General features: G+C 38.7%; 1 long non-coding RNA gene across 2 annotated transcripts in view; it reads right to left on the reverse strand.

Moving 5' to 3' along the window:
- NPSR1-AS1 (NPSR1 antisense RNA 1) overlaps positions 6,998–19,290 on the reverse strand; it is a 487,820-nt gene continuing 475,527 nt past the window's right edge. For both annotated transcript variants that reach the window (NR_033665.1, NR_033664.1), the window contains one exon: positions 6,998–11,333. This is a non-coding gene — a long non-coding RNA (NPSR1 antisense RNA 1). The remainder of the gene's footprint in view (positions 11,334–19,290) is intronic.

A 19,290-nucleotide genomic window follows, 5' to 3' on the forward strand; every position in this document is an offset into this window, starting at 1 on the left:
GAGCTAGTTCTTCTGATTATAGTACATCCTCCCTGCTGTGGGTACCCAAATTTTTTCTCCTGCCTTGTCTCACTGCATTTAATTCCCAGAAAAGAGCCTTCTCTATCACTTGATTTTTCTACTGCCCTCAGTGTAAATGATTAGGGTCCCACTGGATACTAAGTAGATGACTATTTCCCATACCCAGTGTTAACCTTTAAAGCCATTCCTCAGTTGAGCAACAGTCTTTGGGCATTACTTCTGGAAAACCATCTTAAAATACAAACATGACCCTTCTCAGGGGTACCCATTTCTGTGTCATTTTCTTGTGTTCCTGGACAGTTAGCCTCCCACACCTGGGTTTCCATAGTGGCTTGACCAGACTTCTAAGGTGGCAGACTTGGTGACAGCAGTAGCTTTTCCCCAGACTGCCCACCACCTTCATGCATCTCTTCACTGTTCTCTGCAGGAAGCAGGAGGGCCATTTTCAGAGAGGCCCCGACATGGCCCACAATTTCAGCCAGTGCTTCCACAGTGGTTGTTCAGGTAATGCCGCCATGGAGACTTCTGCTACCCCACTGCTACATTGCCCTTGTGAATGTAGATCCCCACTTGTCAGCACATTTTCCTGTAATTTATGGTTTGGAGGTTTTCATTTGTTTATTTTGTCTGCTTTTTGTTTTTTTTTCTATAATCTTATATTAGAAGTGATTTATTGCTGTTGTTGTTTCTATAATCTCATATTAGAAGTGAGGCTCAGAGTTCTGTGAGGTCAATACCTTGTTTAGTTTCTGTTTGGGCTATAATTTGTTTCAAAATGGCAGACTGAAACACAATTACAGACTAATGTGTATAAGACCAATTTTATACCATTTGGAATTTTAAAAAAGAAAATGACCCCTTCCTTAATGCTAGAAGTTTATTTCATATTCTTAAACTGTGAGGCGGGTAGACAGGCAGATAGGCACATGCAAAATCTCACACTGTTGGGGTCAAGGATAGTTCTAGGTAGTGTCAATGCCTGCTTACTTGTCCATGTCTTCCTTAGGCTGTAAGTTCCTTAAGGGCAGGAACCTTACTTCTATTATGTCTCAACACTCAGCACTGCCTAGTGTATAGAAAACAGTAAATATCTGTTGACCAAATGACTGGCTCGGCAAAAACTACATATACAATCATATATGTATCTTTTGCATATGAATTTTCCTTAGAATTCAGTGAGGGCTTAGAAGAAGCTTAGAGAAGGAAAGACACCAAAAACATTTGCTTCTCATGGGCCTGAGGAAATGTCAAATTTTTGACACTCTCTTTCTCATCCTCAACTTTCTGCCTTCCTTCTTCCCCTTCTGCTACTCTGGGTACTTTATTAGTCTGTCTTTCTGAGGCAATTCGCTGTAACCAGAATATTTTTCTTCACCTCCCAACTCAACACCAGTCAAAAGTCTGTGTCCTGGGTGCCCCTGCTCTCCTTGAAAGACACTGGGAAATGGTGATGTCACCCTTCCAGGTAACAGATTTGCATTTTCCCGGAATGCTTTGGGGGTCATAATGCTTTACCCCAAAGCAGTTCATTTAATGGTGCAGCCACAGCCACTGAGGGAGTTATTTTGAGACAGACAATCCTTTCTTCAACTTGTTTTTGAAAGCCTACTCAATTTTATCCTACTTAATATGTAAACTCATTTTCATGTTCATTTGAAGGAGACATATTAGGTAATTATTCATTCCAATCAGAACATTCTTCTTCCGTAATCTTAGCTGTCTTTTTTTTTTTTTTTTTTTAACTAAACACAGGATAGATTTTAAAAGTTGTTTAAGCCTGTCAAAGGAAAAGATAATAAACTAGATAAAAGAGACTCTCTTGGGAATATTAACGCCTCAAGTCTTCTGAATCTTTGCTACTAAATACAAGTTGTATTTCAAACAGCCTCAGGTTACAAGGACGATGACTAATGAATTATAGAGGAAGGTAATTAACTTCCTACATTCCCTGGAAGCTTGCTTTGTGAGAACCTCTCTGATACTCATTTACAGAAGACTGTAACTTCTGATTAGCATTGTTAGGAAAACTGCCCACTTCTTTTCTATTTTCAGGATTCTTTCAGACTGGGGGTGTAGCTCCAGCAGGCTGTGGAAATCCTGGAGCTGATCAGAAAAGGAAGTGTGAAGACAGTGTCAGAAGTCATTTTGCTATTAACCAGCAAAGGTGTTGAGGGCATGTTTTTTCAACTCTCTTTGTCATGAATTTCCTTATTTGTAAAATGAGGGGGTGAGAAACAATGACCTATGGGTTTGCTTCCCTACCTTACATTCAGTGATCTGAGCTTTCTCATCCAAAGGCAAATAAAATATTGTAGAGTGTTGGGTGGTACATGCGGGTTTAAATATATTTAAAACAAAACTTAACAGACTTTCATACATGGATAGCTTCCTTTTATGACTTGTTGGGCACGAAGGAAGGTGAGTGACAGGTTTTTCTTATGCAGCTGACATACTGAACAACATCAATGTGTGGACTGGAATCAAAACACAGTTTTATTTTTATCTTTATTCAGAGGTGGTCATCTTTTGCCTATGAGAATCTTTCTTTCTTTTTTTTTTTTTTTTTTTTTTTTTTTGAGACAGAGTCTCACTCTGTCACCCAGGCTGGAGTGCAGTGGCACCGTCTCAGCTCTCTGCAAGCACCGCCTCCCGGGTTCACACCATTCTCCTGCCTTAGCCTCCCGAGTAGCTGGGATTACAGGTGCCCGCCACCACATCCAGCTAATTTTTTGTATTTTTAGTAGAGACGGGGTTTCACCATGTTAGCCAGGATAGTCTTGATCTCCTGACCTCGTGATACGCCAGCCTTGGCCTCCCAAAGTGCTAGGATTATAGACGTGAGCCACCCTGCCTGGCCACCTATGGGAATCTTTCTTTCTGCAGGTTCTTGAATTCCCCCTCACTCTTAGGAAATAGTGCAACATTTCCTTAAGAAGCAAATGCTCTCAATTCAGAGTTTATGAGGTCCAACTCCTTGTAGTCATCAAAATGACACAATTAACTTCAGGATAACACCTTTTTCCCTCTGCCAGTTGGGATCCACTTCTCAGAACAGGGAGCAAGGTCCTGTTGACTTTCTCTATCACTTGTTGATTATTCCAAGCAAGGTCCCAGTGGGGAAGGCAGATGGGAGAAAAATAATAAGAAGAAGCTTTGTGCATTGTGGGCCCCTGCAGTTGGTAAAGTGGACTGCGTCTTCCATAAAGTCCTCAGGAGGACCTCTTGAAGGCTTCTTGCTGGAACCCTCCCTCTTGCAGTTTCCTTGACCCAAAGGGAAACATATTTAATTTGAGTGGCCAAGGAGACTCCTTTCTCAGCCTTTGGTCACCTGATGTTGTGCACTTCCTAAAATCTTTTCCCTGTAGGGGTCTCCTTACCCCTTTACCTGGCCAGATTGGGAGGAATTCTAGACAGCCCCACCACAGCTTCCCACCACAGCCTCCTCACCATGGGAAAGCTCATCTGTTGCCCCATGCAAACTCTAGGAGACCAGCCAAATCTCAATACATAATTTTTTAAGCCTATTTTTTTCTCAACATTTCTGGAGCAGGCTGAGTCTACAGCCCATAGTTGGTTTTCCTTTTCCTTCTTGTGAGTCAGGCCCCAGTCTCCCGTGTCTCCCAATGCCAGAGAACAGCATGTCAACTCTTTCCGAGTGGACACTTTGGAAGCTACCCACTGCCTGGGAGGCCTTCATCTCTCCCTCATTTTTGTAATCTGATATGTATTGTATTGGTGCTTCAATTGAAACCAGTTATAGAAAGAGTCTCATTCTAACAACCTGTTATAGTTATGTTGAGGCCATGGCTAACATTTGTGGTTAGAAAAACATATTTGAAAAGATAATGAATGAAACAATGGAGAATATTTTAATTGCCCTAATACACACATATATTTCTATAGTTTTATTTTTGAGTTTATGAAACTAGACTTCTTTCATAGCTGTAATCTGATTGTACATATGCTTTTGCAGTCTATTCTTATAAAGTTATTCCTTACAAACCTTTTGTTAAATCATGCTTGGAATTTTAATTGGTGCATATTATCCTGTATATTTTGGTGCCATTTTTTCATGAAAGACTCTTCCAATGCCTATTTTGTGGCCAATGCTGACTTAGGTACTAGAGTTGCAAAAGTTAAAAGAACTGAAATAAAACCTCTATTTAGGAGGCTGCAAATGATTCCAATGTAATACTGTATTTGCCATAGGACAGTTAGCTACATGAATTGAGGGTAGAGAATAAGATGCATCTATGTTTTTGAAAGGAAATTAGGAAGGAACCACACAGAAGGTGTTGGAAGGTGGTGGAGGATGCGTGGGAGGCAGACAGTCAAGAGGAGGCCTCCTTGGTGGATGAAACAGCTTGTGCTCATGCATGGGCTTTATTTATGTCTGGTGGAAAAGGTGTGAATGTGTTTTTCTTCTCAAAACTGTCATTGAATTGTTCTAAAATTACTTATTAAATAATCCTTTCTCTTCAAGTATAGACTTGTGTTGAAAAGCTTGCTTTATCATGTATTAAGTTAATTGTGTTGTTCGGTTTGGTCTACATAAAGTCTCTCCATACAATTCCAGGGATTTATAATTTTATTTGGGGGCCAGAACCACACTTCTCCAAGTAGTGCTGCTTTTTAATCTTTTCAAGTACTGAATAAACTAATCTGCCTTCACAGTTTTTTGCCAAGCAATTCTTTTCTAAATTGTACTAATTCTAATAGTGACTTAAAGGAACCTAGTTCTCTTTTGATATTTTAAGATGGCAAAAATAGTTTTGATATTTTGAAACACTTGGAGACAAAATTGCATCAAATGTTTAGCCCAAGTAATCACTGATTTTATTGCATTCATTGCAGAGGACTTTGGCTTTAAATGAAAATCTTACGCAAAAGGCTTGAAGCCAAATCCTATAGATTTCTTGAAAATGTTTTGTTGCTGTTATTGCTGGTGTTTTATTTAGTTTAGGTTAGTTTCTTCACACAAGCCTAAATGCACATAACTTCGTGGTCTCTTAACTGATTTCAAAATATCTGAGCTGTTTTTTAAAGCATGAGTTTTAGTCTAAATCTTACAAATTGTAATTTGATCTATTGAGCAAAATCACCAGATAGTTGCCTACTTATATACTTTACATATGGAGTTATGAGTATGTGAAGATGGTTAAGCCTTTGATTTTATGCTGTCTGCTGAGTTTGTATAGATTTAGTTACACAGATTATTTTTCTCTCCTTGCTCTTAAATCTCTGAAGAAAATATACACACACAAAACAACATACATAGTAGAGGCCCCATTCTGAGCCAAAGTTAAGGTTCATGGATGGCCCCCAAATACCTGATACGCTAATGGGGTGGGTCCTTAGGAGTTGTCTGATATGAGGACCACTGGTGATATGTGAATGAGGAGGAGGAGATGGTAACATACCCTGAGGTATGGTACAGATAGCCTGGAATCTTTCACCACCTTTGGAGAGTAAGAAGGATAATCATTTTCAAAAGGTTTATGCCATGCAATACATGGGCCCCAGCAATACTGCCAAACTCACAGAATGGCTTTGGAACTTCAACTTGCTCTGGAGTAATTCCAGGCACAGATGTAAGTAAGCATTGCTGTGAGGCATATATGAAGTTACATCTCTAGGTGGCCTTGCATACAACTTACATGCATGTGGGCAGATGGGGGGAAGATTATGATATATGCCACATGACAGCAGAGTCCACCCCAAGAAAACTCAGGTGAGACCAATCTAGGGCTCTGTAGTCTTAACTGCATGTGGTCTACAGGGTCTCAAAGTCTTGAGAATCCCTATGGATTAATAACCAGGGGAAATAAGCTATTGCTACTAATAATATGTGTTGTTACACAGATCTGGCAGAAGATGGATTAGATTTAAACACCATTTGAATAACTTACAGTTAGTAAATATTAACTGAACTACACTGAACATTTTCTTGAGTTCTGTAATTCTAAAAGATTTTGAAATTGTCCTAAAATCAAAACAAACAAATAGGTAACCCTAAAAATTTTGAGAAACTGGCAGCATCATGTAGTAGGAAACTAATTTAATTGGACTCAGAGGGTGTTATTTATGTATTTATTCATTTTTATTCATTCACAATGATTGTACATATTTATGGAGTACATGTGCTATTTTGATACATGTATACAATTTCTTATTTTTTTTATTATACTTTAAGTTTTAGGGTACATGTGCACAAAGTGCAGGTTTGTACATATGTATACATGTATACAATTTCTAACAATCAAGTCAGGGTAATTAGGATACCCATCAACTCAAACATTTATCTTTTTTTGTGTGTTGGGACCATTTCATATCTTCTCTTCTAGCTATTTTGAAATATAGAATAAATTATTGTTCACTTCAATCCACAGAAGGCATTATTTCTAGTACAGATGCTTTTTGTGTGTGTGTTTTTTTTAGTAGAGACGGGGCTTCACCAAGTTGCCCAGGATGGTCTCCAAAATGTTGGGATTACAGGTGTGAGCCACCACGCCCGGCCCAAAAATGCATTTTATACATTGTAGAATATCTGTTGTTTGGCCTGATGATTTCGTGGCTGACTGGGAGCTATGGCTTGAGACAGCTGCATCACTAGCCCAGGAAAAGATCAAAATTCAAAATTTGAAGTACAGTTTCAGCTGAATGTGTATTACTTTTGCACCATGATAAAGTCAAAAATATCATAAGTAGAAACATCTTAAGTCAGGGGCTGTCTGTATAAGTTCTGTTGCTGACTTGAGACACTCATTTCACCTCTCTGATCTCACATGCCTTATTTACAAAGTGAAGGACTTACAAAATGTGCCACAAAAGTAAATTATAGTCAGTCTCATGTATATAATGGGAAAACTCTTCAATAAAATACTAACAAATAGAATCTAACAGTGTATTAAGGAATAATGCATCTCAACCATGGAGCATTTACTTCAGGCAGAGAAGAAGGATTCAAGGTTAGGAATTCTGTTAATAGAGTTTATTGCATAAGTATTTTAAAGGAGAAAACCAAATGATTATCTTTATAAATTTCAAATTGTATTTGATACTATTTAGCAACCATTCCGATAAAAGAAAACAAACCTCTGTGGATTGTAGATCCCTTTTTAATCTTGATAAAATCTAGAAATCAGTAACAAATAGTAATGAAGGACTTAAGACATTTCTATTATAGATAAGACTAAGACAAGGATACCCACTGTGGTAGCTAGTCTGCAAAGGTAGCACTCAATGGACACTCCTCCTGGTATAATGCCCATGTGTAGTCATTTCCATATTGAATGTGACTAACCTGTGACTTCCTAACAAAGCAGAAGATTTGTTAGCAAAGTACTGTGGTGGCAATCCCAAGGTTATACCTTAAAAAGACCTAACACCACACACTTTTCTGTGCTTAGAAGCCTTATGCCACATAAGATATTAAGACTTCTGACTACTCTTCTGAAAAGAGAGTCCACGGGCAGAGACTCTGCAGGATGAGATGCCATGGGGAGACAGAAGCACACGGAATAGCACCTATAAGCCAGACATATGAGTGATGAAGCCAAAACATTAAGCAAAACCTGCTATTTTATATTTCAGTGCCTGGGCTGTAGCCTGATTAGCCAGAGTAATTAAATCATCATGGCATAGGTACAAGATTAGGTAAATAAATTAAGTAACATAACAGAGAATCCTGACACAAACTCAAGTACGTAAGGGAATCTAATATATATCTATACATATATATGTATATATTTACATATGTAAATATACACATATTTAAATGAGAATCAAATTGGTGGAGACAACATGAGTCATGCATGCGATAAATGTTGTTTGGACAATTGACATGCAGACGGACATAAGGAAAAATGTAGACTTAGTATCCCATCATAAACAAAAATAAACTTCTGATGCATAAAATATTTCTATTTTTTAAAATTTAACTATTTAAATACTAGAGGAAAACAGGGAAATATTTTCTATAATCTAGGAGTGGGGATGCTATTATAAGCAATTAAAACCTCAGAAACCATAAACTAAATGATATAATGAAAGTGACTGCAGAAAAAATAAAAACAAACACTTTGGCATGGGAAAATCACACTACAAACAAAATTCAATGCCAGACTGGGGGAAATATTTGCAACCTGTTTGACAGATAAATGGGCACAATCCTTACTATACAACAGTTTTACAATAGAACAAAATATACAATTTTATTCTTATAAATCATTGTGCAAATGACGAATATTCCATAGAAATATGAGAAAAGGCTACGAATAAGCATTTCACAGATGCAGAATACAAATATCTAGTAAAATTATTAATAACATAAAATGCAAACTATAATGAGACTGTATTTGTTTATTTGTTTATACCAATATTAAATGTTTTGAAAAGTAATAACAGTTGCTTTAGGAAATGGTCACTCTCAAATTGTTCTCTGGGGTTCAAATTTTAATATCTCTTTCTAAAAATACTTTTTATTGAAGAATAACGCACATAATGAATAGTATTTAAAACTGAAATGTCCTTCTTCATAAAGTATCATCAAGCAAGCATTTGTGTAACTACCATAAAGCCAGGAAATAAATAGCCAGCGTCATAAAAGCCCACTTTCTGGCACTTTTTGAGTTAACTAGTATTCTAATCTCTAATACCATAGTTCAGTTCTACCCATCTTTGAGTTTTATATAAGCAGGCTTATTCTTTCATATGTGCCTTGTTTTGCTCAATATTATGTTTGTGAGACTTACTTTTGCCATCACATGTAATTGCAATTCTAATGTACTTATTGTTGATTAAAATATCACTCTATGAATATACACAATTTACCATTGTAGTCCTAACATTTGAGGTGTTTTTAGTTTTTCGGCCATTATGTGTAAGGATGCTGTGGACATTCTTGCATATGTCTTTGTGTCTCTATACAAAGCAATTCTATCCAGTTTATACCTAGGACTGGAAGTGCTTACTCATAGGGAATGACTATGTTCAACTTTATTAGATAATGCCAGACTGTTTCCCAAAGTTGTTGTACTAATTTACATTCCTACCAGCAATGCATAAGCATTCAAGGTGCTCCACAATATTATCAACACTCGATAATATTGCTCTTCTTAACTTTAGCCATTTTGGAATGTGTAGAGCTTTAGTTTTCATTTTCCTTATGACTAATGAAATAATGAAATTCCGCACCTTTTCAAATGTGTATTAGCCATCTGAGTTAGTTTTATAGACAAGGGCTTGTACAAATACAGCAAGTCCTCAAATAACATTGTTTTATAATAACCTTAAGAGAAAAAAAGTCAATTCCCAGCTGGGGTCACTGTCTATGTGGGGTTGACATGTTCTCCCCATGTCTGCATGCATTTTCTCCAGGTCCTCCAGTTTCCTCCCACATCTCAAAGATGTGCACATTAGATGAATTGACAGTCTAAAGTGTCCCAGTCCAAATGAATGTGGGTGTGGGTGTGAGTGTGCCCTACGACGGGATGGTGTCCTGTCCAGGGTGTATTTCCACCTTTCACCCTTAGCCCCTGCAGAGGCTCCAGCACCCGAGACTCTGAATTGGAATAAGTGAATGAACTTATATTGTTTTTATTAATCTTTCCTAAATGTATGTGTAGCTCACATTTATTTCAATGTTTAATATTAAATGTATTTTGGTCTTTTTTTTAGAAGTTTGGTGATTTTTTGTCACCAGTAATATGCCAGGAACTGAACTCTTACTTATATCAATTCACCTATGGTAAAATTGGTTTTGTTATATTTTATTTTTTGCTTAAAGTCACAGCTTCCATGATCCTATCAAAGACATTAAGTGAGGGCTTATTATACCTTGTTCATTTTGGATTGTCTGTGTTTTTCTTACTGAGTTATCGGAGCTCATCATATATTATGTATACAAGCCCTTTGTCTTAACAGTGTTGCAAATATCTTCTCCCATTCTGTGGTTCTTTTTCTACTCTTTTAATGCTTTTAATGGTATCTCTACATAAAATTTCTTAGGTTTTTTTTTTTTCTTTGAGGCTCTCACTCTGTCACTCTGGCTCTAGTGCAGTGGTGTGATCTTGGCTCATTTCAGCCTCAACCTCCTAGGCTTAAATGATCCTCCTGCCTCAGTTTCCCCAGTAGCTGGGACTATGGGCATGTGCCACCATGCCTGGCTATTTTTTTTTTTAATTTTTTGAAGAGATAGTGTCTTTCTATGTTGCCAGGTTGGACTTGAACTCCTGGGCTCAAACAATCCTCCTGCCTTAGTCTCCAAAAGTGCTGGAAATACAGATGTGAGCCATCTTGTGTCATCTTAGCTTTAATATAATACAAATATTTTCTCATTTACTCCATGGTTTTTGTATCTTACTTAAGAAATCTTTTCCTGTCTCAGGTCATGAAGGTAATCTATATGATCCTTTAGAACTGAGCTGTCTAATACATTAACAACTAGCTGCATGTAACTTCTACTAACGACTCGAAGTTAGGTAAATTGAAATAAAATAAAATGAAAAGTTTAGTTCCTTGTTCATATTAGCCATGTTTTTAAGGGCTCCATAGTCACAGGTATAGAACATTTTCATCATTGCAGAAAATTATACTGGTCAGATATAATAATTTGCAGAACAATTTATAGAGTAGAATTCTATTTTTAAAAAAACAAGTATCAAAACCACAATACTATCTGCATGTGTCCAAATTTGTATATGTATATAAGAAGTCTGGAAATAGGTACATCAAATGCCAACTAACAGCAAATTGGAAGGCTTTGCGTGACCCACAAAAGCAAATAATAAGCAAACACATTGCAATATCTGTCTGAATGAGAGTTTAAAATGTACGTATCCTGGTTAATGAGAAATGCATTAGAAATTTTTTTACTTTTTATTTTTTAATTAGAAATATCAGTTTGTAGAACTGTTGCACACAATTGTCCTGGTGTGTATTGTTCAGATCCAAGGGTGTCATTTACACGAACAATAAAGAGGGCTGTGCAACCCTGTCGATGAGAAATCATATATCTGGAAAAAAAGCCTTTTTCAGTTCTGCTGCCAAAGTAGCCTGGAAGCAGGTTTCATCTTGTCCCCAATACGCATGTGGGACAGCGAGGCTTATATTTGGTGTTTAATGTTATTTTCCATTAAAAGGAAATCGAGATCCTTGGAGAATGGCTGACTCAACATCTTGGGGCTTGAAAAAGTCAACCTGGGAGTAGAACATCTTGTTTTTGCCAGTAGGTGAGGACTTTATGAGACAATTCCTGAGTATTTCTTTTAGGAGCAGGCATGCACCAAGTTGTAGCAATTCCATCAAAAAGCCTAAAAACAAATGACATTTAGTAAAAAGGACTGGATGATAGCTATAAAACAAAAATAAAAATATAACAATATGTGACTGTTCTTGTTAATTATAATGCCTATGGGATAGTTGATATAGGTGAGTGAGTGTTGTTCCTATGAAGTATATATTGAATTTTTCTTTACCTATGTGGGCAAGAATGGGTAGATTAAGGAATTGTGAGCAAGCAAGATATTTCTGGGAAAAGAAGAGATTTTATTAAGAATCAGAAGGACAGGGAACAACCAGGTTGTTCCACAGAGTGTATCAATATGATGGACAAGCAGAGGGAGAAAGCAGTCTCCTTGGACTGGATTCTCATCTCCTGAATTGAAAAACCCTAGATAAGCCTTCTAATAATATGTGATTAAAGCATACCCATGTTTCCAAAAATGCTAACAAACTGTATCAAAATTGTGAATAAATTTGAGAGGAAAATGAGTTTTGCAATGCAGGCCAGGGAGAAAAAAAAATCTAAAATTTTGTCTTTGTTTTGTTTGAAGACATGAGCTTGCAAATTCCATTTATAAGAGAGGTTTTATTGGAAAAAGAGGGTGTTTTGAGGATCTGTCTAGATTTGAGAGACCCTGGAAGACACAAGCAAGTCTCATGCCATGACCAGGGATCAGTTAATTAGGTCAGAACCTATCATCTTAACAGGTTTGTGTGAGAAAGCACAGTATTGTTACTTATCTATCAGGGTAAGTAAAAAGTACAGAAACAAATTTTGAAACCATGCTGATACTCTGTTTTGAAGGTGATTGAACAATTAAAAGAGGTTGATAAATTAAACTCTTGATTGCACTGAGATGGTTTAGGGAATTTTGTTAATTACATTTAAATCAAGTTGTAAATATTTAAGATAATTCATGAAATGTAGAAATAAATATTTATGATGTTTGAATCTTTAGAAACATTGCGTTAAGTAGATTTACAGATTTTAATAAACTGAATGTTAAATAAAGAAGCACAAGCCAGGGTCAGTGGTTCACGCCTATAATCCCAGCACTTTGGGAGGCTGAGGCGGGCAGATCACATGAGGTCAACAGTTGGAGACCAGCCTGGCCAATATGGCAAAACCCCGTCTCTACTAAAAGTACAAAAATCAGCCAGGCGTGGTGGCGGGTGCCTCTAATCCCAGCTACTCAGGAGGCTGAGGCAGGAGAATCGCTTGAACCCGGGAGACGGAGTTTGCAGTGAGCAAGATGGCGCCACTGCACTCCAGCCTGGGTGACAAAAGCAAGACTCTGTTTCAAAAAAAAAAAAAAAAAAGAAGAAGCACAAATTAAAGTATTTTTCATGTCCAGCCTTGGTGTATTCATAAAACAAAAGCTTACATGTGACCAAACAAAAGTACAGTTAAGAGATATTTGGAGGGAGTCTCTTTGTGGTGATGAGACAGTTTTTCATCCCAGTTATGGTGGTGGTTACTTGCATCTACATGTAGGAGGCAATTTCATATTATTATACACTCTCCAAATATAAATAAACAATTTTAATTAATTAATCAATTTTTTAAATTTATTTTTGAGACTGGGTCTCCCTTTATGGCCCAGGCTTAAGTGCAGTGGCGTGATCTTGGCTCACTGCAAGTTCCATCTCCTGGGTTCAAGTGATTATCCTGCCTCAGCCTCCTGAGTAGCTGGGATTACAAGTGCCCACCACCACTCCCGGCTAATTGTTGTACTTTTAGTAGAGACAGGATTTTGCCATTTTGGCCAGGTTGGTCTTGAACTCCTGACCTTGGGTAATCTGCCCCCCTAAGTCTCCCAAAGTGCTGGAATTACAAGCGTGAGCCACTGTGCCTGGTCAACAGATAGTTTTTAAAGAGAACCTGTAAAACCTGAAGAAATCCAAATAATGTCGGTACCTAAGTTAACAGTATTATATTAACGCTAATGTCCTGGTTTTGACATGTACTATGGTTATGCAAAATATTGTCATTGAGGGAAACTGGGTGAAGGGCACATGGAAATTCTGTACTATTTTTGAAACTTCTTGTGAATCTTAAACTATTTCAAAATAAAAATATCATAAAAATATATACAGAGATATTAGTAACTTCATAAAGAAAAGGCATAGGCTGTTCTAGTGGTGCAAGAACGTGCATCCCTTTGCCTCATTTGGATGATCCGCGTGTGATCTCAGGTACTGGCAAGACGTCAGATAGATCTTGCTGAGTTGGCTAGTCCAGCTTTGTTATTTGTTGTTGCTATTAAGACTATTATAGGATTTAATGCAACAGGAAACAGCTATAAGCATAAATACTACAAAACGGTCATCTATGTTTATATATGGCAGTTCTGCCCTTTGAATGGTGCCTCCTTATAAATAAATGTTCAGGCATCTTCCTAGATCATGTCTTTCCACATAAAAGCTTTTCGCTATTAAAGTTGCCACACTCCCATTTAAAACCACTCATTTCTTCTCCTTGCACTTAGAAAGCAAACGGAGCTCCACACAGTGCTTCAATACCTACAAAATCTGCCTACTGTTGACATTTGTAATCTCGTGTTGTGCACTCCCCCTCTTCCTCACAACATCATAGATACAGAGGCCTCTTCGATGTTGCTAGAACATACCCAGCGCGCCCCTGCCTGAAGGGCTCTGTATTTGCCGCTCCCTTTCCCATGCAGTCACACACTATCTAAAATGACCTTGCTTGTCACTCTCTCTCTCATCAGCTAATATTATTTTCTATATCAATGTGTTTATTTTTTTCTCCCTGTCTTAATTCAGAGCCTAGCATGTAATTGTTGCTCAATAGACATTTTTTTGAATAAATGCATGCATTAATGAATGAATGAACGTTCCTATTAATGGTGCTTATTCTGGGAAATATGACTGAGAGTGAGAGGACTCATTCTACTTCTTACACTCCAGGCCAATCTGATTTTCTTATACTAAGTATAAGCTAATTTTGCAACCGAATTTTTAAAAATACATGTGCATACACGTTTGTACTTAGAATAGATGACTTGAAAGGTAATTTCCATCTTCAGCATTTTATGTTACGTTTTCCAAATTATTCTCTTAAGATATAAGGAAGAAGTATAGCACAGTTTAAATGGTAAGGTGTCGAGACAGAATCAATGTATTCCATTTTTCAATTATGAATTACTGCAAAAGCATGAATCAATGTCAGTATCTAAGAGCCTTCCAGATATCCCTTAATATAGAGATTAATGTGTGCACCTGTGTTTTCACCCTTAATTCCTATAAAAATTAGGTCAAGAACATCAATTCTCTCTGGCCACCAATCAGGCTTTGGAGAAAATAGAGGCAATATCATTTTGGAGGGTGGAAGTGGGCGGTGAGGCAGTGTGACGAATGTTTGCAGATGGATTCTCCCCTTCTCCATCTGGCCTCTGCATATGAGAATGCAGAATATGTGCTCCTGTATCTTGGCCCTTGCTTTGAGGGTAATTACTGTTAACTTTGAATGATTTGACTTATCTGTTGTGAGGTAGACAGATAAGGGTTCAAAAGGAGAAATTATTAAAATTTTGGTATGCGCTTCCCTTTTCTGTAAAGTATTTAGGAAGCCATCAGAGATACAGAAAATATGCCAAGACAAGATAAAAGCAGAAGAAAAGGAGAAGGCCAAGAGGGGCATGAACATGAAATGAAACCAGAAATGAGGGTTAAACAAAATTTCTGTGTCTCTCGGACACCTACGCTCTTGTAAGTAGGGTGTAAACATTGGCTGTAACCTTTCTCAAATCCAGTTTAGAAATGAAAACTGGATAAATTATACCTTTTGCAGTATTTCTAACATAAGTTATATCAAAGCAGTTGTTTCGTCAATTTACATCTATTCCTGATAGAAAAGCAGAAAGGACTTTCTCCTGAAAGTCTCTGAAAAATGGGTGTTATTCTTAATCTCATTTTTTGCAGGGTGTTTAATCTCCTTGCTTTTATTTACATGAGGCACTGGCATAATTCCAAGATGCAATTAGGTTAAAACAATTCTATGGTGATGAGGGTGATGGTGGGTGTGGAGCGGGGTGGAGGTTGTGAAGGACACTTTAAAATAAATACATGTACCTTTAAAATAATCACATGCATTTTCTTTTCTTCAGTCATTCCAGGATGGGAATTGGCAGGAGTACTTTTTTTTTCTGTACCAAATTAGAATCTGCCCCTAGGACTGAGGAAAACAGAGCTGGGGAGAATGATAGTTAAAAGCCAATAAGAATCATTTATTTCCACCTCACTGGTCAGACATATTTTGGGTGTATGAGTCAGCCCAGTGTGAGAGGAATGTTTGGGCTAGACTTTATCAGAAGTTATGTAAATTTTTCAGACTGATGAAAACTATCCTGGCTAGTTATTTGAGGCTTTGGGTAGAATCAGGGCTGAAAAGTTTGGGGAGCTGAACTTATTTTGTGACCAGGACAGCTCTGATTGGGCAACTTCTCTGTTCCAGCTCCCTCTGAAATCCCCTTTCTGGAGTTAATAATATTGTTTTATGCCTAAATTGCTCAGTTTGGTCAGAACCTATGTTTTGTCAACTCTGAAATATCTGACAAAAGATTTCAGCCTGTCAAAGCAGTCTTCCACATCAGATCAGACACTCAGGGCATTTGCTGGCTGAGAGGAGGTGAATGAACTGAGTGCATTCTGTGTACTTGAATGTATGTGATTCTTAAGAGGAGAAGGCAAAGATCAAGTTGTATTTTCTATCCTCAGAAAGCACACAGTCTGGTGGCAAAGACAGGCATGGATACAACTCTCACAGAGCAAAGTAGAATGTGATCATTGCAGGACAAACACGGAGATTTGGGGGCACTGAAGAGAAGAATGAAATTGTAGGGAAGGTTCTTGTACGCCTCTTTTATTGAGGGGCCTATCATTTAGCAGACACTTTAGCAGGCATTCAAAATATGCTAGACAGATGAATAAATAGAAGAGATATCAACTGTGCAAGAAAGAGTAGACTGTGAAGATGTAGAGATGAGTAGAAAAGATGTTTGAGGCAGGAGAATTACATAGTGGCGACACAAGCTTGGTGAGCAAAGGCATCAGCTAATACTGGGTGAGGAATATTGGCCTGGAATATTGTCAAAACAAGACAGTATTCTTGGACCCATTAATTTTCAAAGAAACATCTGTATTTCATAGTCAAAAATGAGTTTGGGAGCACATATAAGCCTTTGAAAAATAAAGGCAGACAAATATGGTTAGAAGATTGAGGTTTGTTAATATAAGAAATATCAATAGGATATTGTGATGTAATATATGGTGTGATGTGATGATGTGATATAAAGCCAAGGTTTTCTAAGGAAGACTACTGTGCCTACCATATTGCTGCCCCCTACCTTTGGCAGGCATGGGGAGCTAAGGATAATATATCATCATGATGCTTGCACAGCAAGATAGGGGTAATAGAGGAGGGTTTAAGGAGGAAGCTACGCATAAACGTGTGAGTAGGGTTAGAGAATACCAATAAGGCATGGTGAGGCCCTGGAGCTGTTCACACTGAGGAGTCATTGCTACCCTGAGAGCTGTCCAGGCAAGGGGGTGGAGTGGTTAGAAAGAGCTGTGGCTGTAGGTGAGGAAGGAAGACAATCCCCAGAGAGGACCCACAGCCTTCCGGAGAGGCACATACCACTGTCAACATGCGACCCAACAGAGACCCAAGGAAATAAATTCCCAATCCTTCATGCCTCCCTATTTCCTGCTGGTGTCTCCTACTGTGCAGATGTCTTCTCCTAAAGGACAGGGAGACCCATGATGTGGTCCTTACAGCTCAGCCTCTTGGAGCACAGAGCAAGGCAGAGAAGGATGAAAAATGACTCGAGGGGAGAACAGAGCAAAGTCACCCCACCTGGGGAAGGAGAAGGTCAAAGCTCTTCTTGCTGATGGAATCTTGGGAGGTCTAATTTATTCATCTCATGATACCTTCAATTATCATGGCATTGTCTGGGTGAATTTATGGATACCTCATTAGAGCTTGAAGAGGCAAACTTCTCAATTAAATATGCTTGTTATAGTACAGAATTAGCTCCAATCTCTAGCCAATTGAATCTCCTTCTTCTGAAGCACTCCTATCCCATAAACAGTCACAGCTATTATTATTTTCTCCAGTATCAGTGACCTGCATATGCACAAAATCACTATGTAGGTGGTTAAAGTACCAGATATCATGTGTGCTTCCCAGGACAGGTGACTCTTGTCAAGACTGCAAATCTATTTGTCTCCTTTATTCAAAAGCAGCATTTGCATACCAACACTCTTAAATCCCATACATTCTTCCATGCTTCTAGGAGAGAAAGAGTCACCTAGCTTTATTTACAAGTCAGGCTGTAAATAAACTTGGAGACATACATTCAGATGAATGCTCCTGAGGTCAGTATCATATGCCGGATGTGGGAAGGGTATTTTACATTATAAAAATGTTTTGCTAGGAGAACAAAGGGAGTGGAGGAGGATTGTTAAGCCTCTGAGAAAGCGTTACTCATCTCAGAGGGCTCTAGCTAGGATACAAAGAGAGAGAGAAAGTCAGGTGGTTAAAATAATATTCTTACTCTCAGAGAAATTCACCCTAAACCAGTTTGACTATCTGTATATTCAGGGTGAATTCTAACCACAAACCCTCTTGTACAAGAAATGTCATAAGACTGTCTTCAGAATAAATACAATCTGACTTTGAGCTTCTAAGATGCTGGGCTACCAGGACATAAAATATCAGCCTGTATTGATACACATTCTCCTCACTCTCACGAGTGCACAGTCTGAACTTTAGTCCTCTGTAGGGACCACAGCCAGCCCACTCCTCATCAGGCTGCCAGGGAAGGAACATAGGCCCCGGTATTTGGGGAAACCCCTGGCTTCCATTCTCTTCTATGTACTGGGACTCTCTCCAAGGCACTCACCTCTCTCTCCTCCTTCTTCATGGGATAGCTTCAGTGAGTTTAGATTTCCTTAAAGACTAGGAAGAAAAGCTGCCCTCCAGCAACTCAGATGTAGAGTACTGCTAAATTGGCCAGAGGCTGGTGAAAGTAAAAATACTATAGAAAACAAGGCCAAACACCTCTCATCTTTTCCAAATCTCTCAAGACAGAAAGAACAAATCCAAACTAATATCTAAAGAAGTTATGGTGCCATGGTGGGCTTCCCCAAAGCCCTCCACTCGTGGTGAGCCCCGGAGTGACGGTTTCTCTACAGCTCTGAGGACCAGGCCTGGAAGGCACTGAGATAACCCCTGTGGCTACACAGAAGACTCAGACCTGCTCCTTGAGCTCACTGTCCACCAGGCAGCAGCCATGCCCACGACTGCAATAGCTTGGAGAAATGCCACAGTGGAGGAGGTACGGGGAGAGTGAAGAACTGCCTGGAGCAGGAAGCCTGTCAAAGAGCAGCAGAGATGGAGGAGAAAATATTTGGACTATGTTTGATGTCAACGACCAACGCAGGTTGGCTCAGCAGGGATGGGAGTGCAAAATTGTCCAAAGCAGAACGTCTTAGATAGGTTATTCTCAAACAAGAGAAAGCCTAATATCTTGTGGGAATAAGAGGTGTCACTGTTCAGGTTCCCTGGGAAGTAGACCCTGAGACACATTTTCATGCAGGAAGCTTGTTGGGGTATAGTCAATACAGGAATTACCCTGTGAGGGAACACAACTAGGAAGCACGATTGGACAGAAGGAAAAGTTAAACTGCAAGGCAGTTGCCGAAGAGGCCTCAGCAAACCACATGGCAGCTCTGGAACAGGGGAAGCCCTGCAAAGGAATGTCAAATTGAGGCAAGGAATCTAGGCTTTTGCAAACCCTAAAAGGGCAATGATAAGATGAAGCTGATCTTGGAGAGGGGTCATAACCTTGGAAGAGGAAGTTTTCTTTGGCTGAGGGCAATTCCTAGAGAGGGACTCAGCTATGAGCCCTTGGCAGGCAACACTCCTGAGCTGGGAGAATGAGAGCCTCCCTCCTGAAGGAG

The sequence above is a fragment of the Homo sapiens genome, chromosome 7 (assembly GCF_000001405.40).
Source record: "Homo sapiens chromosome 7, GRCh38.p14 Primary Assembly".
Taxonomy (NCBI): Eukaryota; Metazoa; Chordata; class Mammalia; order Primates; family Hominidae; genus Homo; species Homo sapiens.